This window comes from Homo sapiens, chromosome 18, assembly GCF_000001405.40.
Source record: "Homo sapiens chromosome 18, GRCh38.p14 Primary Assembly".
Classification (NCBI taxonomy): Eukaryota; Metazoa; Chordata; class Mammalia; order Primates; family Hominidae; genus Homo; species Homo sapiens.
In genome coordinates, this window is record NC_000018.10 from 77,527,425 (window position 1) to 77,554,305 (window position 26,881).

General features: G+C 41.3%; 1 long non-coding RNA gene across 1 annotated transcript in view, besides 3 other annotated features; it reads left to right on the top strand.

Moving 5' to 3' along the window:
• LOC107985172 (uncharacterized) overlaps positions 1-26,881 on the top strand; it is a 76,818-nt gene that overhangs the window by 15,169 nt on the left and 34,768 nt on the right. The window lies entirely within an intron of this gene.
• Positions 3,031-3,555: an enhancer, noted in NCBI's record as "H3K27ac-H3K4me1 hESC enhancer chr18:75242411-75242935 (GRCh37/hg19 assembly coordinates)". NCBI's record gives its function as "activates a minimal SCP1, AML or CMV promoter by ChIP-STARR-seq in naive H9 embryonic stem cells {active_cell/tissue: H9 hESC(naive)}" and the evidence as "EXISTENCE:reporter gene assay evidence [ECO:0000049][PMID:30033119]".
• Positions 3,556-4,079: an enhancer, noted in NCBI's record as "H3K27ac-H3K4me1 hESC enhancer chr18:75242936-75243459 (GRCh37/hg19 assembly coordinates)". NCBI's record gives its function as "activates a minimal SCP1, AML or CMV promoter by ChIP-STARR-seq in naive H9 embryonic stem cells {active_cell/tissue: H9 hESC(naive)}" and the evidence as "EXISTENCE:reporter gene assay evidence [ECO:0000049][PMID:30033119]".
• Positions 17,518-17,713: a silencer, noted in NCBI's record as "fragment chr18:75256898-75257093 (GRCh37/hg19 assembly coordinates)". NCBI's record gives its function as "represses an EF-1alpha promoter that drives an FKBP-Casp9 reporter gene in an ReSE screen in phorbol 12-myristate 13-acetate-treated (for megakaryocytic differentiation) K562 erythroleukemia cells {active_cell/tissue: K562(+PMA)}" and the evidence as "EXISTENCE:reporter gene assay evidence [ECO:0000049][PMID:32094911]".

Below are 26,881 nucleotides of genomic sequence, written 5' to 3' on the forward strand. Positions count from 1 at the left end.
GTACATGTGTCTCTGTGTGTGTGTGCATGTGTGCATGCATCCACCCTCCCCCTGCATCCAGAGCTTAAGGTCCTTAAGGTCCATCGGGAGATTAGGGTCAACCCTCATACCTGAGACAACTTTGAGGAATCTTCGTAGCTACCACAGCGACTCAACATAGCAATGGAAACCAAGCGTCCTAGCCCTTCACTCTGAGCATGAAAGGACCACCAGGGCCCCACGCAGCCCACTAAATGCTCCGCTTACTCAGCTCTCTTTCACACATCCGCCTTGCACCCTTACTGGAGCTTCTGAAACACCGAGTCAGGTCTCTTCGTGGCTCTCCTGCCCTGGCTTCTTCCTGTCTAGAGAAAGTCAAGGGCATCCTCGGACAGCCACCCGGCTCTTCCCTGTCAATCATAACCTGCTGCGCCAGCCCCCTCTCCTGTCCCAATGGGTGCCCACTGGGCTCCTGGGTACAGTTTTCCTTACTTTTTTTCAGACTTTTCACCATCTTATAGCTTTGTTCAGGATAAAACCATTCCTGGGCTCTCCTTCTGCTCCTTGGAAAGTCCCCACATTTTTCTGAAGTAAACTCCTCATAAGAATTAAGGTTTGGTTTGCATGTCACCATCTAGTTACAGCCCTCCCCAAGTCGTCTGGGTTGAACCAATTAAACTGCTTGCCATACTGTGATAGCTTTTTAACACGATCCTTAATTTATTCAAGCATTCATAAAATATTTATTAAATGCATATAGGAAACCTTGACGGTAGCATTTTCTAGTTTGCATTGTTATTTTTTCTCTCCCTTCTAGGTGGGTGTGAGCCTCTCCTGGGCAGAAACGAATTCAACTTTCTATTACTCTTATTGTTATCATTAGCATTATTTTAGTGGCAGTAGAGTACTGTGGTTAAGAGCTTAGGTATCTGAGAGGCTGAATTGCAAGGAGAGTTTATATCATTGGATAGATTAATAAAACACTTTGAGCCCCAGTTTTCTGATCTGTAAATGGAGTTAATAATAGGATTTGCCCTCTAAACTGCCATGAGGCTTCAACAAACCGGGCTATGAATGACTTGCTGCACAGTAATGGTAATTTAAGTGTTAACCATTGATGTCCTTATCCCAGCATCTGGTATAGTGAACCTACAGGTGCCCCTAAGATGTTTACTCAATCAATCACGTGGAACTGAGAATGCAACGAAAAGCTCAGGCCGGCCCTTGCAGAATCCTGGATCTGAGGGCCGTGTATTGTTGCTGTAGGACCAAAAGAGCTGCCAGCATCCTTTACTAATACAGTGTGGTGCATCTGTTCTTTTATTTTATTATTTAAAGTTGAAGGAACTTAAAATTAAGAAGAAATCAAGACCAAATGGAATATTCTGGCAAACTCACTTATCTCAAAAGGCAGAGCTCTACTTAATTAGTAGCAGGAATCAGATACTGAAGAAAAGGAGAGGCTGGGAAAGACTGACACTGACGTTATTATTGTTAAATGTACATGCAAATTAGGAGGATTCCAAATGAGCATCAGTCTGGCCTGTAGCGATTTCCTATTCCAGGGCTGGAGAGGAATAACTTGTTCCTCTAATGGCAGAAAATGCACTGGGATTTGAATCCATTGTCAATACCATGTCTCACTCTTTAAGCCCAGAAGCCTCGTGTTGTGAAATCAGGTGATGACCCATGGCAGTGTTTCTCAAGCTTTTTGGTTTCAGGATCCCCTTTTACTCTGAAAAGTTATTGAGAGTCTCAAAGTAAATTTAACTTTGTGAGCTATATCAAAATTTAGAAAGGCCCTCTAAATAAATATCACACCCTGAGGAGAAGAGATTAAATAAGATGTATCTTTGCTCCAAAAAAGAACAAAAATGTACAAGTTTATCTTAAGTAAAAGGACACTTTCTAAATGAACTCTAAGATGACCTTAGAAAAAGAGAAATATTTTTGCTTAAAATAAAAGTTTGCATCGAATCTATTTTTTCTTTTTCCTTCTTTACTGAAGTGTTGAGGCTTTTTGAAATTTAGGTAGGCATTTTAGTAGCCTCCAGAGAATGAGAAATAAGAATGTGCATATTATTATTTTTTTCTTTTTTTTTTCTTTTACTTTAAGTTCTGGGATACATTTGCTGAACATGCAGGTTTGCTACATAGGTATACATGAGCCATGGTGGTTTGCTGCACCTGTCAACTCGTCATTTAGGTTTCAAGCCCCACAAGCGTTAGGTATTGTCATAATGCTAAGAACATGCGTATTATTACTGTATTGAATTTCCACATACTTCAGTGGCAGAAATGCTGTAAAGAGTGATGTCTAAATGTGTTGATGCAACTGATCCTAGCAAGAGCCACTGCCTATTTGATAACTCCAGCAGGCGAACCGTGTACACTTCTAATTGTGTTAGTATGAAAGCAGATTATATATTAGAGCTTCCCCCTCAGATATAATTCCTTTTCTCTTGTAAAAGCAATGTGACTTCCTCTACTAAACTGACCATGCCATAAAAATAAAACATATTTTATTCACTTATCACTAAGGAAGTAAAGCCTGGTTTCTAGGTATGACTTTGTTGCCATGGAATCCGTGCTGAAAGCCTGTCTTAGTTATTAAGTTATAGCTCCATCTCCAATTAGCACTGCATAGGTCTGACATTAGCTGTAACAGAAGCTTTGCTTTTGGTGACGACTTCTGGTATTTACAGACAGTGTTTATGTTTGCCTCCCTCTTTTCAATTTGAGACTCCTTGTTGATAAACAATAGTTTGACCAAACCACGAAGGTATGCCCATGTGCAAGAAGCATGAACCTAAATAGGTGAGTTTATAAGAATCTTCCCATTCCCTGAGAAATTCTTAGATTACAACCTACTTCCATGAGCTTCTTTCTAATTTTGAATTGCATGTGATTGGTAAGAATATTGAAAACCCACATATTGAAATGTCTTGTGATAGTTATTCCTGTCTTCACGATCCTGAACGTCTGAAAAATCTAGAATTGTGTTTTCCAAATGAATACATTTTCCGTAGTGCTTAAGGAAAATGCCCCATGACTGGCTGAATTTTTCACCATTCATTGGAATCCCTCTGTCTTCAATGTGAAACAAGAGCATGCCTCTCTGGTCTGAGGTGTGCAGCTGGAGGAAACTTGATCTTTAGCTTCTTTACAATCAAATCTTTGTTGCACTCTATGTCCTGCAGCCTTGAGTCAAGCTTCCAGGTTTGTCTTCACTCACAACTTCACACTGCTTAGAATCCGTAAAAATCCCCATTTCCTGGGCACCCTGTTGCTATTGATTTCTCTTTGATGACTCTAGCTGTTACCTTGAATTAAAGCAAAAAGGCTTATCTAAATCTTTCTTGTCTCGCCTTGTGGAAGGATTGACTTAAGCACTTAACACACAATATTAAGAAGAAGGAAAATAGGTTTATTGGTGTCCTGGGAAAAGAAGGAGGGGCAGGAGGCTGTGGAGCCAGCGTTGCTCCAACTCCACTCACTCTTCCCAGCCGTCCCAGGCCAGGCCTCCTCCAGGGGAAGGTGATGTCCGTCCAGGCATGCCCGCTGCATGGAAGTGGCTAGACCAGCTGTCACACGCATGGTCCCTCTGAGATGACTCCCTGACTGTGGATGAAAACTCGAGGCTTGGGGCAGTGTCTCAGGGTCACCTCTCCAGTGGGTGTGCAACCGCCCCAGCTTCCACCTCAGACCAGGGCTCGATCTTCTCTGAGTTCTCCCGGGCACCATGGACCCCCCGACCCGTCTTCAGGAGACCATTCCAGGAAACGTTGAAAGGCTCCGTGTTGATTTATTTTACTTCTAAAACTCATTCAAGTTATTTGTAATTGCTGAGCATAATAATTTCTGCTCAATTGATGTATTTCAGTTAAGGAAACAAAGTTTAGTATTCAAAGAATTTTTCACACGATTGCTGTTGTCTTGCTGACTAGCTAATGTGATTCTTCGCTCTTTGTTTTCCCATAAGATTTGGAATTTAAAAACTGACTCACTTTTCTACACTTTTCCTTACCTCTGGGCAAGACAATAATTGGAAACTTCTTAAGGAATTTTCCCAGACAGTAAGCATTACTCCCAATTCACTTTTTTTTTCTTATCTTTTTCCTTAGAGATAAAAAAGTCTAAGACTCAGAGACAGTTGAAATACTTTTATAACCATGTTAGCAATTAAAATATTTGAATTTGGATATTTTAAGGTGCTAACCAAAGCCATGTAGCTCTTCTGGTAGAAGCAACACTAGAATTAACATACGTGAGGTTTTCATTATGAAATTATGCATAGAAAAGGGAAATAAAACATGGTTTATAATTTAGGAAAATAATTGAAGAGTTTCCTTTTTTTGTTCATGTTATTTCTTATACCAATAACAAAAATGCACTTCACTCAGAGGCTTTAATATTTTTATATATTTTTAATAGTTTCATATTTTTACATCTAGTTGTTAATACATCAAAAATTCATTTTGGTATCTAATGTAAAACAGGGAGATATGTATTAAATAATACATTATTCGGAAATAACATTGAATTATGAACCCTTTTCTCATTAATTTGAAATGTCACCTTTGCCATATACTGGAGTTATATATATTTTAAAATTTACAATATGTTTCTTAGCTTTCTGTTCTGTTCCACAAATCTGCCTATTTTTAGACTAACACCAGTGTAAATTTGAAGCTTTAAACTACAGTTAGTGTTGGCAAAGCAGACCCTTCTTCTTTTATTTATTTATTTTTATTATACTTTAAGTTCTAGGGTACATGTGCATAACGTGCAGTTTTGTTACATATGTATACGTGTGCCATGTTGGTGTGCTGCACCCAGTAACTCGTCATTTACATTAGGTATATCTCCTGACGCTATCCCTCCCCCATTCCCCGACCCCACAACAGGCCCCGGTGTGTGCTGTTCCCCTTCCTGTGTCCAGGTGTTCTCATTGTTCAATTCCCACCTATAAGTGAGAACGTGTGGTGTTTGTTTTTTTGTCCTTGAGATAGTTTGCTGAGAATGATGGTTTCCAGCTTCATCCATGTCCCTACAAAGGACATGAACTCATCGTTTTTTATGGCTGCATAGTATTCCATGGTGTATATGTGCCACATTTTCTTAATGCAGTCTCTCATTGATGGACATGTGGGTTGGTTCCAAGTTTTTGCTATTGTGAATAGTGCCGCAATAAACATACGTGTGCATGTGTCTTTAGAGCAGCATGATTTATAATCCTTTTGGTATATATACCCAGTAATGGGATGGCTGGGTCAAATGGTATTTCTAGTTCTAGATCCTTGAGAAATCGCCACACTGTCTTCCACAATGGTTGAACTAGTTTACAGTCCCACCAACAGTGTAAAAGTGTTCCTGTTTTTCCACATCCTCTCCAGCACCTGTTGTTTCCTGACTTTTTAATGATCGCCATTCTAACTGGTGTGAGATGGTATCTCATTATGGTTTTGATTTGCATTTCTCTGATGGCCAGTGATGATGAGCATTTTTTCATGTGTCTGTTGGCTGCATAAATGTCTTCTTTTGAGAAGTGTCTGTTCATATTCTTCACCCACTTTTTGATGGGGTTGTCTGTTTTTTTCTTGTAAATTTGTTTGAGTTCTTTGTAGGTTCTGGATATTAGCCCTTTGTCAGATGAGTAGATTGCAAAAATTTTCTCCCATTCTGTAGGTTGCCTGTTCACTCTGATGGTAGTTTCTTTTGCTGTTCAGAAGCTCTTTAGTTTAATTAGATCCCATTTGTCTATTTTGGCTTTTGTTGCCATTGCTTTTGGTGTTTTAGACATGAAGTCCTTGCCCATGCCTATGTCCTGAATGGTACTGCCTAGGTTTTCTTCTAGGGTTTTTATGGTTTTAGGTCTAACATTTAAATCTTAAATCCATCTTGAATTAATTTTTGTATAAGGTGTAAGAAAGGGATCCAGTTTCAGCTTTCTACATATGGCTAGCCAGTTTTCCCAGCACCATTTGTTAAACAGGGAATCCTTTCCACATTTCTTATTTTGGTCAGGTTTGTCAAAGATCAGATAGTTGTAGATGTGTGGTATTATTTCTGAGGGCTCTGTTCTGTTCCACTGGTCTATATCTCTGTTTTGGTACCAGTACCATGCTGTTTTGGTTACTGTAGCCTTGTAGTATAGTTTGAAGTCAGGTAGCATGATGCCTCCAGCTTTGTTCTTTTGGCTTAGGATTGACTTGGCAATGTGGGTTCTTTTTTGGTTCCATATGAACTTTAAAGTAGTTTTTTCCAATTCTGTGAAGAAAGTCAGTGGTAGCTTGATGGGGATGGCATTGAATCTATAAATTACCTTGGGCAGTATGGCCATTTTCACAATACTGATTTTTCCTATCCACGAGCTTGGAATGTTCTTCCATTTGTTTGTATCCTCTTTTATTTTGTTGAGCAGTGGTTTGTAGTTCTCCTTGAACAGGTCCTTCACATCCCTTGTAAGTTGGATTCCTAGGTATTTTATTCTCTTTGAAGCAATTGTGAATGGGAGTTCACTCATGATTTGGCTCTCTGTTTGTCTGTTATTGGTGTATAAGAATGCTTGTGATTTTTGCACATTGATTTTGTATCCTGAGACTTTGCTGAAGTTGCTTATGAGCTTAAGGAGATTTTGGGATGAGACGATGGGGTTTTCTAGATATACAATCATGTCATCTGCAAACAGGGGCAATTTGACTTCCTCTTTTCCTAATTGAATACCCTTTATTTCTTTCTTCTGCCTAATTGCCCTGGCCAGAACTTCCAACACTATGTTGAATAGGAGTGGTGAGAGAGGGCATCCCTGTCTTGTGCCAGTTTTCAAAGGGAATGCTTCCAGTTTTTGCCCATTCAGTATGATATTGGCTGTGGGTTTGTCATAGATAGCTCTTATTATTTTGAGATAGGTCCCATCAATACCTAATTTATTGAGAGTTTTTAGCATGAAGGGCTACTGAATTTTGTCAAAGGCCTTTTCTGCATCTATTGAGATAATCATGTGGTTTTTGTCTTTGGTTCTGTTTGTATGCTGGATTACATTTATCGATTTGCATATGTTGAACCAGCCTTGCATCCCAGGGATGAAGCCCACTTGATCATGGTGGATAAGCTTTTTGATGTGCTGCTGGATTCGGTTTGCCAGTATTTAACTGAGGATTTTCACATTGATGTTTGTCAGGGATATTGGTCTAAAATTCTCTTTCTTTGTTGTGTCTCTGCCAGGCTTTGGTATCAGGATGATGCTGGCCTCATAAAATGAGTTAGGGAGGATTCCCTCTTTTTCTGTTGATTGGAATAGTTTCAGAAGGAATGGTACCAGCTCTTCTTGTACCTCTGGTAGAATTCTGCTGTGAATCTGTCTGGTCCTGGACTTTTTTTGGTTGGTAAGCTATTAATTATTGCCTCAATTTCAGAGCCTGTTATTGGTCTATTCAGAGATTCAACTTCTTCCTGGTTTAGTCTTGGGAGAGTGTATGTGTCCAGGAATTTATCCATTTCTTCTAGATTTCCTAGTTTATTTGCGTAGAGGTGTTTATAGTATTCTCTGATGGTAGTTTGTATTTCTGTGGGATCAGTGGTGATATCCCCTTTATCATTTTTTATTGCGTCTATTTGATTCTTCTCTCTTTTCTTCTTTATTAGCCTTCCTAGCGGTCTATCGATTTTGTTGATCTTTTCAAAAAACCAGCTCCTGGATTCATTGATTTTTTTAAGGGTTTTTTGCATCTCTATCTCCTTCAGTTCTGCTCTGATCTTAGTTCTTTCTTGCCTTCTGCCAGCTTTTGAATGTGTTTGCTCTTGCTTCTCTAGTTCTTTTAATTGTCATGTTATGGTGTCAATTTTAGATCTTTCCTGCTTTCTCTTGTGGGCATTTAGTGCTATAAATTTCCCTCTACACACTGCTTTAAATGTGTCCCAGAGATTCTGGTATGTTGTGTCTTTGTTCTCGTTGGTTTCAAAGAACATCTTTATTTCTGCCTTCATTTCGTTCTGTACCCAGTAGTCATTCAGGAGCAGGTTGTTCAGTTTCCATGTAGTTGAGCGGTTTTGAATGAGTTTCTTAATCCTGAGTTCTAGTTTGATTGCACTGTAGTCTGAGAGACAGTTTGTTATCGTTTCTGTTGTTTTACATTTGCTGAGGAGTGCTTTACTTCCAACTATGTGGTCAATTTTGGAATAAGTGCTATGTGGTGCTGAGAAGAATGTATATTCTGTTGATTTGGGGTGGAGAGTTCTGTAGATGTCTATTAGGTCTGCTTGGTGCAGTGCTGAGTACAATTCCTGGATATCCTTGTTAACTTTCTGTCTCATTGATCTGTCCGATGTTGACAGTGGGGTGTTAAAGTCTCCCATTATTATTGTGTGGGAGTCTAAGTCTCTTTGTAGGTCTCTAAGGACTTGCTTTATGAATCTGGGTGCTCCTGTATTGGGTGCATATATATTTAGGATAGTTAGCGCTTCTTGTTGAATTGATCCCTTTACCATTATGTAATGGCCTTCTTTGTCTCTTTTGATCTTTGCTGGTTTAAAGTCTGTTTTATCAGACACTGGGATTGCAACCCCTGCCTTTCTTTGTTTTCCATTTGCTTGGTAGATCTTCCTCCATCCCTTTATTTTGAGCCTATGTGTGTCTCTGCATGTCAGATGGGTTTCCTGAATACAGCACACTGATGGGTCTTGACTGTTTACCCAATTTGCCAGTCTGTGTCTTTTAATGGGAGCATTTAGTCCATTTACATTTAAGGTTAATATTGTTATGTGTGAATTTGATCCTGTCATTATGATATTAGCTGGTTATTTTGCTCGTTAGTTGATGCAGTTTCTTCCTAGCCTCAGTGGTCTTTACAATTTGGCCTGTTTTTTCAGTGGCTGGTACCGGTTGTTCCTTTCCATGTTCAGTGCTTCCTTCAGGAGCTCTTGTAGGGCAGGCCTGGTGGTGACAAAATCTCTCAGCATTTGCTTGTCTGTAAAGGATTTTATTTCCCCTTCACTTATGAAGCTTAGTTTGGCTGGATATGAAATTTTGGGTTGAAAATTCTTTTCTTTAAGAATGTTGAATATTGGCCCCCACTCTCTTTTGGCTTGTAGGGTTTCTACTGAGAGATCCGCTGTTAGTCTGTTGGGCTTCCCTTTGTGGGTAACCCGACTTTTCTCTCTGGCTGCCCTTAACATTTTTTCCTCCATTTCAACTTTGGTGAATCTGACAATTACGTGTCTTGGAGTTGCTCTTCTCGAGGAGTATCTTTGTGGTGTTCTCTGTATTTCCTGAATTTGAATGTTGGCCTGCCTTGCTAGGTTGGGGAAGTTCTCCTGGATAATATCCTGTAGAGTGTTTTCCAACTTGGTTCCATTCTTCCTGTCACTTTCAGGTACACCAATCAGACATAGATTTGGTCTTTTCACATAGTCCCATATTTCTTGGAGGCTTCGTTGATTTCTTTTTATTCTTTTTTCTCTAAACTTCTCTTCTCACTTTATTTCATTAATTTGATCTTCACTCACTGATACCCTTTCTTCCAGTTGATCAAATAGGCTACTGAAGCTTGTGCATTCATCAAGTATTTCTCGTGCCATGGTTTTCAGCTCCATCAGGTCATTTAAGGACTTCTCTACATTGGTTATTCTAGTTAGCCATTCATCTAATCTTTTTTCAAGGTTTTTAACTTCTTTGTGATGGGTTCGAACGTCATCCTTTAGCTCGGAGAAGTTTGATCATCTGAAGCCTTCTTCTCTCAGCTCGTCAGAGTCATTCTCCATCCAGCTTTGTTCCATTGCTGGTGAGGAGCTGCGTTCCTTTTTAGGAGGAGAGGCTCTCTGATTTTTAGAATTTTCCGTTCTTCTGCTCTGTTTTTTCCCCATCTTTGTGGTTCCCCATCATCTACCTTTGGTCTTTGATGATGGTGACGTACAGATGGGTTTTTGGTGTGGATGTCCTTTCTGTGTGTTAGTTTTCCTTCTAACAGTCAGGACCCTCAGCTGCAGGTCTGTTGGAGTTTGCTGGAGGTCCGCTCCAGACCCTATTTGCCTGGGTATCACCAGCGGAGCCTGCAGAACAGCGAATATTGCTGAACAGCAATGTTGCTGCCTGATTGTTCCTCTGGAAGCTTCATCTCAGAGGGTTACCCGGCCGTGTGAGGTGTCAGTCTGCCCCTACTGGGGGGTGTCTCCCAGTTAGGCTACTCGGGGGTCAGGGACCCACTTGAGGGGGCAGTCTGTCCATTCTCAGATCTCAAACTCCATGCTGGGAGAACCACTACTCTCTTCAAAGCTGTCAGACAGTGACATTTAAGTCTGCAGAGGTTTCTGCTGCCATTTGTTTGGCTATGCCCTGCCCCCAGAGGTGGAGTCTACAGAGGCAGGCAGGCCTCCTTGAGCTGCGATGTGCTCCACCCAGTTCAAGCTTCCTGGCTGCTTTGTTTATCTACTCAAGCCTCAGCAATGGCACACACCCCTCCCCCAGCCTTGCTGCTGCCTTGCAGTTTGATCTCAGACTGCTGTGCTAGCAATGAGCGAGGCTCTGTGGGTGTGGGACCCTCTGAGCCAGGTGCAGGATATAATCTCCTGGTGTGCCGTTTGCTAAGACCCTTGGAAAAGCGCAGTATTAGGGTGGGAGTGACCCGATTTTCCAGTTGCCGTCTGTCACAGCTTTGCTTGGCTATGAAAGGGAATTCCCTGACCCCTTGTGCTTCCCTGGTGAGGAGATGCCTCGCCCTGCTTCGGCTTATGCTCAGTGCGCTGCACCCACTGTCCTGCACCCACTATCTGACAAGCCCCAGTGAGATGAACCCAGTACCTCAGTTGGAAATGCAGAAATCACCTGTCTTCTGCGCCGCTCATGCTGGGAGCTATAGACTGGAGCTGTTCCTATTTGGCCATCTTGGAACTGCCCCCCACTCTGATTTCTTCATGACTCTATTGTTAATTTGCCTGAGGTCTGTGGGATCATTTTTAACTTCTCTAACTTTGAGTTGACTTTCAACAAAATAATGATAACTTAATAATTCCATGAAACCTTTTCCAAAACCTTTACATTCATTTGAACACAATCGTAGGGCATCAATTTTAAGATCTTTGTTATTATTATTATTACTCAGTTGTTTTCTCTTTAGAGAGACTGTACAGTGGTCAATCCCATATTTTACATTTTTATAACTTGGTAGTTAACTATACTAATAAAAGTGTGTATTTATAGCTACAAAAACATAGATGGGCATTCAGTGTTTTCATGGTTCTAAACAAGATAGCAGATTTAGCAGCCGAAAGATACCAATCGTGATACTAAGGCCCGACATGTAGGCTTTAGCATTCCCTCCATTTACACATGTAAGCCACTGCAGAGAAGCAAAGTGGAAAGAAAAGGAAGAGTTCTACATTAATTTTTTAAAAGTCTTGGTTAATATTTATGCCAATTAGTCAAGCTTCTTCTAAGTACTTAGAAACATGACATTTGTGTATATTCATGTTTTCAAGGCCTCTTATTTCTACTTAAAAGTTAGGAGTAACTTTTACTCTTAAACAGCACTAGGATTTTGTCTTCTTTTTATCCTGTGTGGTTTCGTGCTGCTTATTTCCTGATAGCTCTCTACAAGCATCTGGAAATAGTACTCAAAAGAAAAGAATAAATAAGATTTTAATATGGTAATTATTAGAGGTTAGAAAGCTTTGGCTTTATAGACCCTTACAGACCTTTGCTGTTTCAAAAAGTATTTTCTCATGTTTTATGTTTACAAAAGCCTCATCAGACAGGCCAGTCAGACATCACTAGCCCCATTTCCAGTGTAAGAAAACTGGCATTAGATAGGCTTTGATATATAACTAATTGTGGAACCAAGATTTGAACTCAGAGTTTACAACTTCAAGGCCAGTGTCCTTTTTCTACAAATTGAGAGAAAATATCAATTTAATGTAAATTAGATGCAAGCGACTCAATGATAAACTGAATTGCCCACTGTTAAAGTAAAGAGCTGAAATTTGTCATAGCATAGATGAATGCCAATGGTGTGATCATAAGTTTCTAAAAATGATAAGATGGTAAATTTTAGAGGAAGACTATATAACTTTAAAATGTTGGCCCAAGTAAAACTTCAAGTTCGTCCCACCAACTATGGTTCTATTCATCTCAAAGGGGTTATGTGGGTTAAAAGAGGAATCATCTGTCCCACGAGTTACCATTTTGATTATGACCTCCTCCGATTGTTCTGGAATGATGCAATTTTCTTCCCAGTGATGAAAGAAATTCTCCCTCTCTTCTTTTATTTCTAGATAAAGACATCCTCTATTCCATGCTCGCCATGTCTCTGTCTCTAAAGAAGCATTCTCTACAACTCGCTGTAGCCAAAAAACACCCACACTTCAGAGGGAGGTTGTGTTGTTTGTTACAGTTTTCCTAACCCCCTCCAATTAAGCAAATTGAATGCTTTCTTCAAAACCTCCTGGAAATTCCATCCATTCTAAAAGCCCCCGCTTCTCCCATCCTCCCCAAGGCTCCCTGCCCTCTCTGCTTTCTCCTCCTGCCACTGGCTCATTGTCAGGTTAGTTTTTTCCTGAGGAACAACCTCCCAGTCTCCCACTCACAGCCACAGGAGGCTGGTCAGTATCTGAACCCATCTTACCAACGCGGTGATGACATCATCTGCCACTGTGTGTTGTCTTCTGTCTCTCCAGATGACATGAGGGACCTAGTCTTTCTTGTATCCTGGAGTCTAGAATATTTCCTGACACAGTCGATTGTCGGTAATTATTCAATGGATTAATTAATTAGTTCTGTAACCTTCCCATTGTCTCAATCCTCCTTCAAGGTGAAGCCCTTGTTCTGTGTCTCTGCATCCTCCATGGCACCAGCGCATCCCTGTTCCTCAGGCTCGTGTGTGAGTTGATGGGGTGCTAGCGTTGACACAGGGCTCTGAGGGCAGTGGTGCAGCAGGACTACCACCGCCCCAATCCAGAAGCCCAGTGTCCAAGTCTGAGTTTTGCCCCTTACTGCAAAGAAAGACTGGCCTGAGTTAGGTTTTCTTTCTCAAGCTTCGTTCTTGAACTTCATAACAATCAGGTGAGAGAGAAAGCAACTTGTTCACTCTACTCAATATACAAATTTAAAGTGCTGTTATCAGAAGTGAAAATACAGAAGCAAATTTAAAAATAGACCAGAGGTTTACTCCTGAAAGGGGTAAAATACAACCAAAGTGAGCCTTGTCTTCTGACTCTTGATTCATTTTTGTTGTTTTAGAGACAGTGTCTTGCTCTGTTGCCCAGGCTGGAGTGCAGTGGCACCATCTTGGCTCACTGCAACCTCTGACTCCCGGGTTCAAGTGATTCTCCTGCCTCAGCCTCCCGAGTAGCTGGGACTACAGATGTGCAGCACCATGCCTGGCTTCATTTTGTATTTTTAGTAGAGATGTGGTTTCACCATGTTGGCCAGGCTGGTCTTGAACTCCTGACCTTAGGTGATCCTTCCGCCTTGGCCTCCCAAAGTGCTGGGATTACAGGCATGAGCCACTGTGCCTGGCCGACTCCTGATTCTTTACAAACGTTTCTGAAGCAGGAAGTTATTAAAATATGAATAAGATTTTTTATAATTTCTTGTCAATCTCCACCTAGCCATGGTGTGGTGAAAGTCTCAGCTGTCTCGTTGTGATTAGCGTTGCTCTCTAGCCTCATTACGGAATTCAGTGACTTACTTCTTCCTTCCTTTTTCTTTACAAATAGCCTTCCTTTCATGCTAAGAAAAGCCACATCAGAACAGGTCTGTAAAAACTCAGGTTAAATAACTGGGATATTCTGTGAGGTCAAAATTACTCTTTATCTTTTGCTTTGTAATAATCCTGCCTTTCACTGAAACAGATGAAAATCAGATGGAATTTAGTCAGTTCATAGATTTCAGTAACTTTCTGAAAGTACATTTTAATGGTGGGCATTACCTCTTTGTTCACATAATTGCTATCGTGTCCCTTTGGAGATGCCCCAAAGCCCATTAACAGCCCGGTTTTCTCTAGTGCTTCTTTTCATAATATGAGCAAAATGTCAGTCTGCTGTGGTATTTCGGATCCCTCGGATTTAATGTTCATACAATGCTATTTTATGATGAATTAAATAATACTAAATTTGCAAATAAAATGACAGTTCGGGTTAATTTTTTATCAACTGGCCTGATTCCAATTCTATTTCTACTTTTGATTCATATGAAATGCCCTAATAATTTAGTGTTGCACTAACTTTACTGAGAAAAACTTCTCTCTTCTAGTCTCTGTAATGTCTCATTTGTAACTATATGTTTTGATGTTACATCCTAGAATGTGGGATCTGTTTGGTATAATATCATTGGTTCCTTTTAGAAATCTTCATAATAACAAAACTGGATCCATCCTCAAAACAATGCTATTGATATAACTGGAAGACTCAAGAAGACTTCCTGATTTCTCATTCCTGGTGATGACAGAGTGGTCCACTGTAAGGTGAAAATGTATTCACATTGACATAGCCTTCAGTTAGAAATGTGATGTGTGGCCAGGTGCGGTGGTTCACACCTGTAATACCAGCACTTTGGGAGGCCGAGGCGGGCAGATCACTTGAGGTCAGGAGTTCGAGACCAGCCTGGCCAATATGATGAAACCCTGTCTCTTCTAAAACTACAAAAATTAGCCAGGCATGGTGGCACGTGCATGTAATCCCAGCTACTCAGGAGGCTGAGGCAGGAGAATTGCTTGAGCCTGGGAGGCAAAGGTTGCAGTGAGCCGAGATCACGCCACTACACTCCAACCTAGGTGACAGAGTGAGACTCCATCTCAAAAAAATAAATAAATAAAATAAAATAACAGTAAAAATAAAAAAAAGTAATTTGTTACCATGGAGTGGACTTTTTATCCTAGAGATGAATATGTGAAAATGCCAACAATATTTTAGGTCCAAGAACTTTTTCTGTAGGAGTCATGGCTTTCCTGAGCTGAAAAGAAATCCAAGCCAGTCAATTAAAAAATCTAAGTGATCTATATCCTTAATCATTAATACCTTTCATGTAAGGTTATGTTTATTCCATCGCCAGGGGGCTGAAAGCCAACCTCCTTGGTTTCTTAGTAGATTATGGTTTCCATAGTTGGAGAATAACACAGACACACACACAGACAGAGAGAGAGAGAGAGAGACATACACACACAGCAGAGTGCAGACAGATACATCTCTCGCACGTATGTTTTTCTTCTACTCTGACTTAACATTCTTCCCACTACTAGGGTCTATAGTCCCTGTCCTGTCAATCCCAGCATCCAAATTATGAGAAAGCTTGAACTAGCTCCCTAGGTAGCCCTCTGGAGGGGCCCAGTGGAGAGAATCTGAGAGGCTGGAGGCTCCATCCAGTGTAGTGGGCAAACCTTTAGACGATTCCAGACTCCGGAAATTTGTCTTTGAGTTGAAGCCCCAGGATTTGAGGAATAGAATCGGGTTATCTTCACTATACTCTGATCAAATTCCTGACCCCTAGAATCTATGAGCAACAGAAAAAGTATTTAAAATTAAAAAGAAAGAGACGGCTGTGTTATATCACTAATTTATAGGGTAATATGGTGCTTGGCCCCAGTAACTGGCCTATGGATACTAGAGTTTGAAGTCACCTGGAGAATTTATTCCAGAAGTGAGTTGTACTAGAAGTTGGATATCTTCCCTTCCATGTATTTCAAAAGTTTATGTATATTTCATCTCATTTTAAAATAGATTTGCACTGAAAAATTAATACTTAAAACTTTAAGGAAAGCTCTACAGCAAAATGTCAATTGGTAAGAGTTTGGAGGATTGCGATTTTTGTAATAATTTCAGTCCTTAGCTTGGCAAATTTTTCAAGAGTTCTTAACAAATGACAGCAATTATTTACTTGTATATCAACTGCATTCTTAGCCATCATTGAGGTCCCTCAAGTACAATATTTTTAATGAGGATTTCTGAAGTTATAACTCTTTCCCTCATATTATATTTTTAGTCTACGTGTGTTTTAACACTTGTTTCCTAACAGTTTCATTTATGATAATTCTGTCTTCCCAATGTAAGCTGTAGATTTCTTAAGCCATTTTTTTTTTCTGGGGGCTTGGGCTTATAAGAAATGTTCATTAGTGGCCGGGTGCGGTGGCTCACGCCTGTAATCCCAGCACTTTGGGAGGCCGAGGCGGGCGGATCACGAGGTCAGGAGATCGAGACCATCCCGGCTAAAACGGTGAAACCTCGTCTCTACTAAAAATACAAAAAATTAGCCGGGCGTGGTGGTGGGCACCTGTAGTCCCAGCTACTTGGGAGGCTGAGGCAGGAGAATGGCATGAACCCGGGAGGCGGAGCTTGCAGTGAGCCGAGATCCCGCCACTGCACTCCAGCCTGGGCGACAGAGCGAGACTCCGTCTCAAAAAAAAAAAAAAAAAAAAAAAAAAAAAAAAGAAATGTTCATTAGTAATGACTGATGGGAACTGATTTACTTTACACATTTAACTTTCAGTGCCAGGAGTTTCAAAGCAGGTCTGCTGAAGAACAGTGAGAGAATAAGGTAAATCAGAGTTGAAATATTCTTAAGACTAAATAATTTCCTCAAAATACTGAACTTGAGGAGAATTTCATCAGCATTTCTCATAATACAACTCTGTTTTACTTCACAAATAAATCAAGGAGAAAGATTAAAAAGCAGGCAGGTTTTATGGTTGTCAAAGGAAACAATATGCCTTTGGGTATAAAGGAAAATAAAACACTCATAGGGTGACAAATCATTATATGGGTTTTAGATTGCTGCTGGGACAAACTACCACAAATTCCATGGCTTAAAACAACACCAACTTATGATTCTATGGTGCTAGAGGTTAAAAATCTGACATGGGACTCACTGGGCTAAAATTAAGATGGCAGCAGGTCTGTGTTCAATTCTAGAAGCTCTAGAAGAGAATCAGTTCCTCTAATTTTTCAGCATATAGAGGTTCTGGTCCCTTCCCATCTTCAAAGCCAGTTATAGCTGGTTGAGTCTTTCTCACATTGCATCACTCCGACCTCCTATTCTGACTTGCTCTTCCACTTTTAAAGGCTTGCGATGGTTTCCTTGGTGCCACTTGGATAATCCAAGATACCATCCCTATTTTATGGTCAGCTGATCAGTGAATGGCATCGGCAACCTTAAGTTACCTCCTTTGCTGGGTAAAGTAATGCATCCACAGTTTTCAGGCATTATGATGTGGACATCTTTTGGCACTTTATTTTTCTGTCCACCACATTCATTTTGAATGTAGATCTCTATAAAGAAAATATCAGATGCCCAGATGCAGTGGCACAGACCTGTAATTACAGCATTTTGGGAGGCTAAGGTGGGAGGATCTTTGAGCCCAGGAGTTAGGGGCATTTAAAGTAATGCTTTATTTGCATCTTGATCACAAGTACATAGATTTCAACAAAGATCTGTGGGCCAGTTAACGGGTAGTGTGGTCACTGGAAATTGATGGCACCATGTTTCCTTTTAGGAAGAACTGAGAGTACTTGGTTCTTCATTCAAAGGACTCACCTTCATGAGTGTAGCTCTCATGCTTTCAAGGAGGTGAAGTGCTGTGACCGAGTACCCTTGAGTGGTCCAGAGTGCTAGTCCAAGGCATAGCTCCCGGTTCATTGTCAGGGAAATTAAATCCTTGGAAAGTGGCTGGGCCTGTCCACAACGCAGGAAGCCAGCCAGTCCGTGGGGGCCTCTGTGGGTTCTTGTGAGGATGCAGGAGTTCATCTCAATACACCTGCCTCCTCCGTGGCTAATCCCAGTACACTCCTCTCCAAAAGGCCCTTCAGAATCTGAATTTACATCTCCATCATCACCCGAATCAGTGTCCCTTGAGCAACCTTATCGTTTGTCTCCTCAAATGTGCTGAATAGAGCATTCTCCAGTTGGTGAATAAGGGCTTCTAGAACCTACTGATTTTGAGAAACACAGCATCTCCTCTTTCACAGTCATCAAACCTATTAATGCCCAGAGTCAGTGGCCTCTTAAAGTTGCTTAACTGTTTCTCATATATATAGATATGATAAAATACATATATTCATCTCAATACACCTGCCTCCTCCATGGCTAATATATATATTATATAATATATATATTTTATATTTATAATATATATAATATATATATAATATATATTTTATATTTATAATATATATAATATATATATAATATATATTTTATATTTATAATATATAAAATATATATATAATATATATTTTATATTTATAATATATATAATATATATATTTTATAGTTATTATATATAAAATATATATATATTTTATATTTATAATATATGTAAAATATATTTTATATTTATAATATATGTAAAATATATATTTTATATTTATAATATATATAAAATATATATTTTATATTTATTTTAATATATATATATATTGCTGTGACATTTGTTAGTATTGCATATCAGAACCACTCCACACAATGGACTTTGGGAGATTATTTCTTAAGTGCCACTTACCAACTCTGAACACTGTTTGTCTACCTAAACTACTTCCCATATTTTTTACCTGGCAAGCCTCTGCTAATCAATTGATCCTTGAGTACTTCAGATGGAACACCTTAGGACTATGTGAACCCCTACATCACTCCTGCAGGAAGAAAGTGTTTCAGGCTTCCTAAAGGAGAACTTCTCCAAGTTCCCAATGCCAGCTTTATTGGCCTGTCTGCATCTGCTCCCAGATTCTCTACTTTTTCACATGTGCCCAGAAGAGACATATTCCTGCCCCATCTGAAGCCAGCCTCCCATCTGAAACCAGCCTCTCCATTTTTCCACTTGCCAATTCAAGGATGTTACTGCACAACTATGTCCCTTCTCCTTCATGATTACATGATCCTTTTTCCCTTTTGCTTTTTTTTTTTTTTTTTTTGACACTGTATCTTTCTCTGTTGCCCAGGCTGGAGTGCAATGGGGTGATCTCGGCTCACTGCAACCTCTGCCTCCCAGGTTCAGGCAATTCTCCTGCCTCAGCCTCCCGAGCAGCTGGGATTATAGGTGCCTGCCACCACGCCCAGCTAATTTTTGTATTTTTATTAGAGATGGGGTTTCATCATGTTGGCCAGGCTGGTCTTGAACTCCTGACCTCAAGTGATCCACCAGCTTTGCCTTCCCAAAGTGCTGGGATTACAGGCGTGAGCCACTGTACCAGGCCTCCCTTTTCCTCTCTCGATTGTTACTACCACATAAAAATATGCCCTAATATGCCCACAGTAAACTCACTGAATGAACTGCCTGTACTGATTGCCTCTCTTTTTCTCTGCTTTCTATTTTCTCATCAACTGCAGCCAGGCCGCCCAACCCAAGCATCCGGATGCCACCTGTGATCCACGTTGAGAGTCCGTGGTGGCTCTTAGCTCAGCTAATTAACACCCTAACCCTAACGCATACCCTCCTTCTTCATGCGGGTCATGGAACACCACAGGCTTCTCTCCACTCGCCGCCCCTCCCTCTTCTGTTTCTTCTACTGACTGTTCCTTAGGGTGGACGGAGGTTTTCCTTAACTCCCTCATTTTTCTCTGCCTGAGTTCTGAGCCAGTTCAGCCACAGGGAAAGGAGTTGTGCTGATGGGAACCACAACGTGCCTTTTATTTCTGATAAGCATCGGTTGAAATACGTGGCTTCACAACAGCCAGTGGCCTTCCTAATATAACTGCGGAGGGAATCTAATCACCCAAACCGCAGGCTGGTCTTCATGGGGTGGCGTCTCCTCTCTGTGGGTAGTGGATGTGGCAGGAGGATGATGATCTCTTCTGTGCCAGCAAAGAGGAGCTGGGGAGAAGACCGAGGGTGTGGCAGAGCCATTCTGACCAAGCTCCTTTCCCACACTCAGCCATTTTAGTCACTTCTGCTTTACTGGGCCGAAGTGAGCCACAGCAAGGCGAGGCCCAGGGTGTTGGTCCATGTGTTTCTTTCCAGATGGATCCACACGGAACCAGAGAAATGAGAAACTCACGTGGCCCCCAGTGCTGCCCATCTGTTTGTGCTTCTGAACTTCTAGGGGTGGCAACCCCAACACCAACCCCTGCCCCTGGGGCCGGTTTAGTTTTTGTCCTCGGGTGACTGAACTGGATTAAGATGGCATTTTAACTGCAAAGCCATGCTGTACCCAAGGCACAAAAAATGCCACTCTATCATCTATTCTCTTTCCTGTTTCAAATTATGTTCCGGAACATTGCCCAAGAAGGCTCGTAAGAGGTTCTCCAAAAATTATATAAGAACTTATACGTATATGAATAACAAGTGCATTCACTGACTCCAATAGTAAAGTTCCAGCATGAAATGTCTTAACTTTGAATCTAAATTCCCATTGCAAAAGTCCCGGTGAGAAGCCCTGGAAAAAAGGTCAGGGCCTTTGAAAGTTAAAGTTCCAAGTGGAATTATCTTAGTTTATGAGTTGAGTGTCTGAGGAAATTAAAGTGCAAACATTACTCTGTTTCTTATCGCTCTCAGCTGGGGCTGGGAGAGGCGTGTTCTTCCAGCAGCTGCAGGTTGGCCTCTTTCCTGGGATGGCTATTCTCCCTCCAGCCCCTCAACAGCCGTGCCTGTCCTCAGTGCCTCAGAGAGCAGAGAGTCTCTGCTTCATCCAGCACTAGCCTCAGTCTCAAAATAGGCAGAATGAAACAAACACCCAGTTCCATGGAGTTGTTTTTTGGAGCAACCTAATAGGGTTTTATTACTCTGATTTCAAAGGTCCAGTCAGTGCTTAACCCGTCGAAGAGGTTGACTGCCACCTGAGGAATGAGTAGCTGGAAAAGTGGGGCAGATGGGGAAAATCCTAGCTCTTCCCAGGTCTCCTGACAACCAGTCACATTTTCAGTGTTTTCCGCTGACTTCCCTGGTGAAACCCTCTAAACTGTCCATACTTGTGAATCCACTTTGTCTTGCTATCACACTGGGAAAGCCCTGCCCCTCAAGATTTTTCCAAGAACCTTCCCTTTTCAATCATAAGAAGGTACAAATCAATAGCTTCACCAATCAGTACTTTCCTGGATCTCAGATCCTTCTGATAGTCATGCTGCCTAGTCCCTGGGTTTGTTCCTTCTTATTCTGCCAGAGGTTCTGGGCCTCCATCACTGTGCAGCAGTGAAAACGCATCCTCTTCTGTGCCACTTTCACAGAGAGAAACGGGCCCAGGCGTGCCTCATTTTCCCCTTGCTATCATCTTATTCTGGCCTTAAAGATCTGAATTTCCCCATCATATCTCTGCAGCTGTTTTCGAATGGGTTATTCTTTCTCTCCAACAATCCTCCTCTTTTTCTACTGGAATCAGGATGTTTCTTTATTTCTTTTCATTCTCACCCTGCTCTTGTTCTGCTGGTGAGATTGAAACTTATTTTTCAGACCACTCCCGAGATTCCACCGTGAATCTGCCAAAACAAATTGCCTTCAATTTGATGGCTTAAAACCATAGTGATTTATTTTCTTAGAGTTCTAGAAGCCAGAGTTTAAAATCAAGGTGTCACAGTGGCCATGACCTCTCCAAAGCCTCTGTGGAGGGACTCTTCCCCACCTCTTCCAGCCTCAGTGTCACCCAGCGTTCTTGGCTCTGAGTTCACAACCCCAGTCTCCACCCATGTCTCACCCAGCGTTCCTGACCCCAGTCTCTGCCTGTGTCTCACTCAGCATTCCTGGCTGTGACCAGACAACCCCAGTCTCTGACCGTGTCTCACCCAGCCTTCCTGGCTGTGACCAGACAACCCTAGTCTCTGCCTGTGTCTCACTCAGTGTTCCTGGCTGTGACCAGACAACCCCAGTCTCCAACCGTGTCTCACCCGGCCTTCCTGGCTGTGACCAGACAACCCTAGTCTCTGCCTGTGTCTCACTGAGCATTCCTGGCTGTGACCAGACAACCCCAGTCTCGGCCTGTGTCTCACTCAGTGTTCCTGGCTGTGACCAGACAACCCCAGTCTCCGCCTATGTCTCACTCAGCGTTCCTGGCTGTGACCAGACAACCCCAGTCTCTGCCTGTGTCTCACTGAGCATTCCTGGCTGTGACCAGGCAACCCCAGTCTCGGCCTGTGTCTCACTCAGTGTTCCTGGCTGTGACCAGACAACCCCAGTCTCTGCCTGTGTCTCACTTAGCGTTCCTGGCTGTGAGCAGACAACCCCAGTCTCTGACTGTGTCTCACCCAGCCTTCCTGGCTGTGACCACACAACCCCAGTCTCTGCCTGTGTCTCACATGGAGTTCCCCTTGAATGTCTGTTTCTCTGTGTCTTCTCTTCTTCTTATGAGGACACCCATCATTGGATTGAAGACCATCCTGAATATAAGATTTTTTCCCCCTGAGATTCTTAATTAATTATATCTGCATAGGCTCCATTTCCAAATACAATAACATTCTGGGGTTCTCGATAAAATAAATTTGGGGAGACATCATGGAATCTACTACACTGTATAACTCAACAAGTTGGCATACATTTTTCTTTTCCTATTAATGTCACTATTTTCAGTAAAAGAATTGTGTGTGTGTGTGTGTGTGTGTGTGTGTGTGTGTGACAGGGTCTTGCTCTTTTGCCCAAGCTCAACCTCCCAGATTCTAGCCATCCTCCCACCTTGGCCTCCTAAGCATCTGAAACTACAAGTGCATGCCACCACACCTAGCTATTTTTTTTTTTTTGTAGAGACAGGATTTAGCCATGTTGCCCAGGCTGGTCTTGAACTTCTGGGCTCAAATGATTCTCCTGTCTTGGCCTTCCAAATTGCTGGGATTACAGGCATGAGCAACTGAGGCCAGCCACTTTCAGAAAAATTTACAGTTCTTCTTCAGGAGAGTTATGTAGAATCTGTATTTCAGAAATATAAAGCCATCCATGGTCACAGTGCATATAAGTAACATATCCAGAACTCATTTAAACAACATGCTGGGGCTGGCTTTTGAGCCGCTGGGATAGCCTCACAGATTCCAATCTGAATCCCTTGTGGTTTCATTCCTGGCCTCTGAAGGAAATTCAAAGGGGGAGTAAAATTTAATGAGTTGCCCTAACACTACTGGCACCAAATCTTCAAAGACAGAACTTCACCTGTGCTTTCTACCCATATTGAACTCAGAGGTCTTTGCTATTTAAAGTTTCAAACTACATTACAAAACCTAAGTCTTTGCCACCAGGAGACCCATCTAAGTAACACAGTAAAAGAAGCAAATAAATATTCTTCCTAATGATGTAAGGCCTATATATGGAAAGTCTAATATTTCCCTTTACACACATTCTAGCCGTGACTGCACCTGTTACTAAATCCCAGGACCTCTTTTAAAAATAAATGTTCTGCAGCTGTAAACACAAGGCCCCTGAGTCTCAGTCCCACTGGACCCACACTTACTCAAGGCATGTTCTTCTGTCCCAGACGACACAATTTAGAAGCCAGATTTCACAAATGGGAACCCAACCACATGGCTCAGTAGATGTCCTCACCATCGTCAAGGGGCTTAGCAAAGCCCTGTTCCTAAAGCTGCCATTGAACTCTGTTTCCCAAAGGCCACTCTTTGTCTCCCAAGGTTACTGGGATAGATGCCAGAAGTGAAGGCTCGAAGGAGCTAATCCACTCCCCCACTCTCATCCCTGTCCAAATTCTGAACCAATCGAGAGATAGACAAAGGGGAGAGAGACGGAACTCAACAAAGATAATTATGTAAAACTAGACTGGAAATGTAGCTTAGGTCCTGGCCAAATGAGTTTCCTCATATTCTCCATTTAAATACAAGCCCTGTGCCTCTGAGCTTATCTTGGCGAGAGAGGAGCAGGTGTGACAGTAGGATACAGCATCCCATCTAACCCGGAAGCACTTAGGATAGTAGGGTACATTGTCCCATCTAGCCTGGAGGCACTTAGGCGTCACCATAGTAAAGGGTCCTCCACAGGGAAACAGGAGGGGTGGAGAAAAAGTGTTCCTGTGTAATCTGGCCTGGTTCTCTGAGCTCCTTCCCTGCTGTTTCCAGTCCTCCACTTGGACATCACAGAAGCCACATAAATGATGTTCATATTCCTCAAACACACAATGTATCCACCTCTCAGGCCTCTTGTTCTTGTGGTGATTCTAGGATATTTTCTCTAATTATGGATGCAAATGTCTTCTCATAATTAATACATGATAATACCACTTCTTCATATATAATATCTGTTACCATCCCAACAAAAGCAGGTACTCTCATCTCTCTAATTCTCTCTTGTTTATTTTTAAAATTTACTACTTTGTTTGTTCATAGGCATTTTTTTGGTCTCATCCAATTTAAATGTCAGCTTCTTGATGTCAGGGACATTTTCTTGGTTAGCACATTAGTACATATTAGTTGTGATTCAACAAATATTTATGTTTTGGCTGACTTATAATTTGTGTTGTCACAGCCCTTCATTTGTAACTCTACTGATTGTATTGGAATTCATTTGTTTGTCCCGCCTGAAATCATGTCTCTCTTTCTGTCTCCCCCAACTTCTCTCTCTCTCTGTCTCTCTCTCTTTTTGGCCCGGGCTCCCTCTGTTGCCCAGGCTGGAGTGCAGTGGCGCCATCATGCTTCACTGCAGACCTCCCAGGCTTAAGCAATCCTCCCGCCCCAGCCTCCTGAGCAGCTGGAACTACAGGTGTAAACCACCATATCAGGTGAATTTTTGTATTTCTTGTACAGAAAGGATCTCACTATGTTGCCTAGGCTGGTCTCGAACTCCTGGGCTCAAGTGATCTGCCAGCCTCAACCTTGCAAAGTGCTGGAATTACAGGCATGAGCCACGGCGCCCAGCCTTGAAACCATCTCTTATTTGCCTTTTAATCCCCAAAAACTAAATATTGAGAGCTGATGTAATGTTTATTGCATATTCGGTCAGCTTAAATCTGCGTAGGATTTGAGAGACTGTAACACATTGCTTACTTTCAATGAAGACTTCAGGAAAATGATCTTGATATGATAATATTTCTCTATATATTTGTTACATTTGCAAAAGGAAACAAATGCTAATTTGTATTAATGTATCTAATTTGTCTAACTAATGTATCTAATTTATCTAATTAATGTATCCAATTTGTATTAATGTATTCTAGTAATGTAAAAGGGTAATTAAATTATGACCTCTAAAAATCTACAAAATGTCACTCTCTTCTTAAAACTAAAGATAATTTTAGTTCAGTTTTTGTTGTTGCTGTGAAAATGTTATTTCTCAGTGCAAGATTTTCTATTTGAGTAGAATAGTTAGTGATTATTTTTAATTACCTTGTCTTTGATGAAGCTCACAGTAAAAAATAATGAGACCATTGCAAATAAGAAGTATGTCTTCTGAGGGAGTAAATAGTCGTATTCATTTGGGGCAATTCTGAAATTCAAAGATTTGAGTAATCAGTGAATAATTCATGATTGTCTTTTGCTAAACTTTTACATTATAGCCCTCTTGGTTATTCTCATCAGTGAAACTTTAAACTTCATGAGGAAACATTAATGCCTCAGAGTGTCATCTAGTCTAAAAGCTGCTTTTATTGACTAAGCTACAAAAATTCAATGAACTGTGATGAATAAATCACAAAATTGTGATAAGTCAAAGCAAACACAGAAGTATTCTTAAGAGAAAATGCGTTATAAAAGTACATCTTTCAAGCAATTAAACTTATATTAAATATTACATTTGGTCAAAATCATATCCTGTATATTTTTAAGTTAATGTGTTGCTATCATTGCATGCCTCTCAATAGTAATGAAAGTTCTGAGTAACATTACATTAACACTTGTGATTTTAACAGAAGATTTTAATAGTCCTTTCGATCTTGATGAAGCTGACTCAAAACTTACTACAGTGGTCAGCTTTGACAGCTTATTGGTGACCAATTATACTGAAGCATAAATTTGAATTTTTTTTTGAGACGGAGTTTTGCTCTTGTTGCCCAGGCTGGAGTGCAATGGCATAATTTTGGCTCACTGCAATCTCCCCTCCTGTGTTCAAGTGATTCTCCTGCCTCAGCCTCCTGAGTAGCTGGGATTACAGGCGCCCGCCACCATGCCCAACTAATTTTTTTGTATTTTTAGTAGAGGCAGGCTTTCACCATGTTGGCCAGGCTGGTCTCGAACTCCTGGCCTCAGGTGATCCACCCACCTTAGCCTCCCAAAATTCTGGGATTACAGGCGTGAGCCACTGCACCTGGCCAAATTTGATTTATAGAAACTTCTAGATACCATTTTACTATTTTTTTTCCAAAATGAATACACTCAAGTTGTCTTTTTGCTTTCTGAAAATGTGGGCTTATGTGGAAAAAAAGAGTCTTCTTTGAGAAGGTAAGACTTTGACAACTCTATCCTCATGGAACAACTCCAGACACAACCAACAGAGCCTCATGATTTGGAAGTTAGCTGTAGGAAGACGTTTTTCTGATACCTGTTTCATCCTCTGATATTCTTTGTTTGTTTGTTTGAGACAGAGTCTCGCTCTGTGGCCCAGGCTGGAGTGCAGTGGCACAGTCTCAGCTCACTGCAACTTCCATCTCCCGGGTTCAAGCGATTCTCCTGCCTCATCCTCCTGAGTAGCTGGGACTACAGGCGCCCACCACCATGCCCAGCTAATTTTTTGTATTTTTAGTAGAGATGAGGTCTTGCTATGTTGGCCAGGCTGGTCTCCAATTCCTGACCTCAAGCAATTTGCCTGCCTCAGCCTCCCGAACTGCTGCGATTACAAGCATCAGCCACCATGCCCAGCCCCATCCTTTGATATTCTTTTCACTAATCACATTAATTGTGTGAATGCCACTTGCTTCTTAAACTTTTTCGCAGCCTATATGCCCTGTCATTTAAATACTTGTGCTCTGCAAGGTGAATGTTAATCTCTGAACGAATGTGCTCCCCCCCACATCCCACTGCCTGTCACTGTGGGCCTTGTCACAGCCAGGTGCATATGCAAGAAGTCGCTTGCAT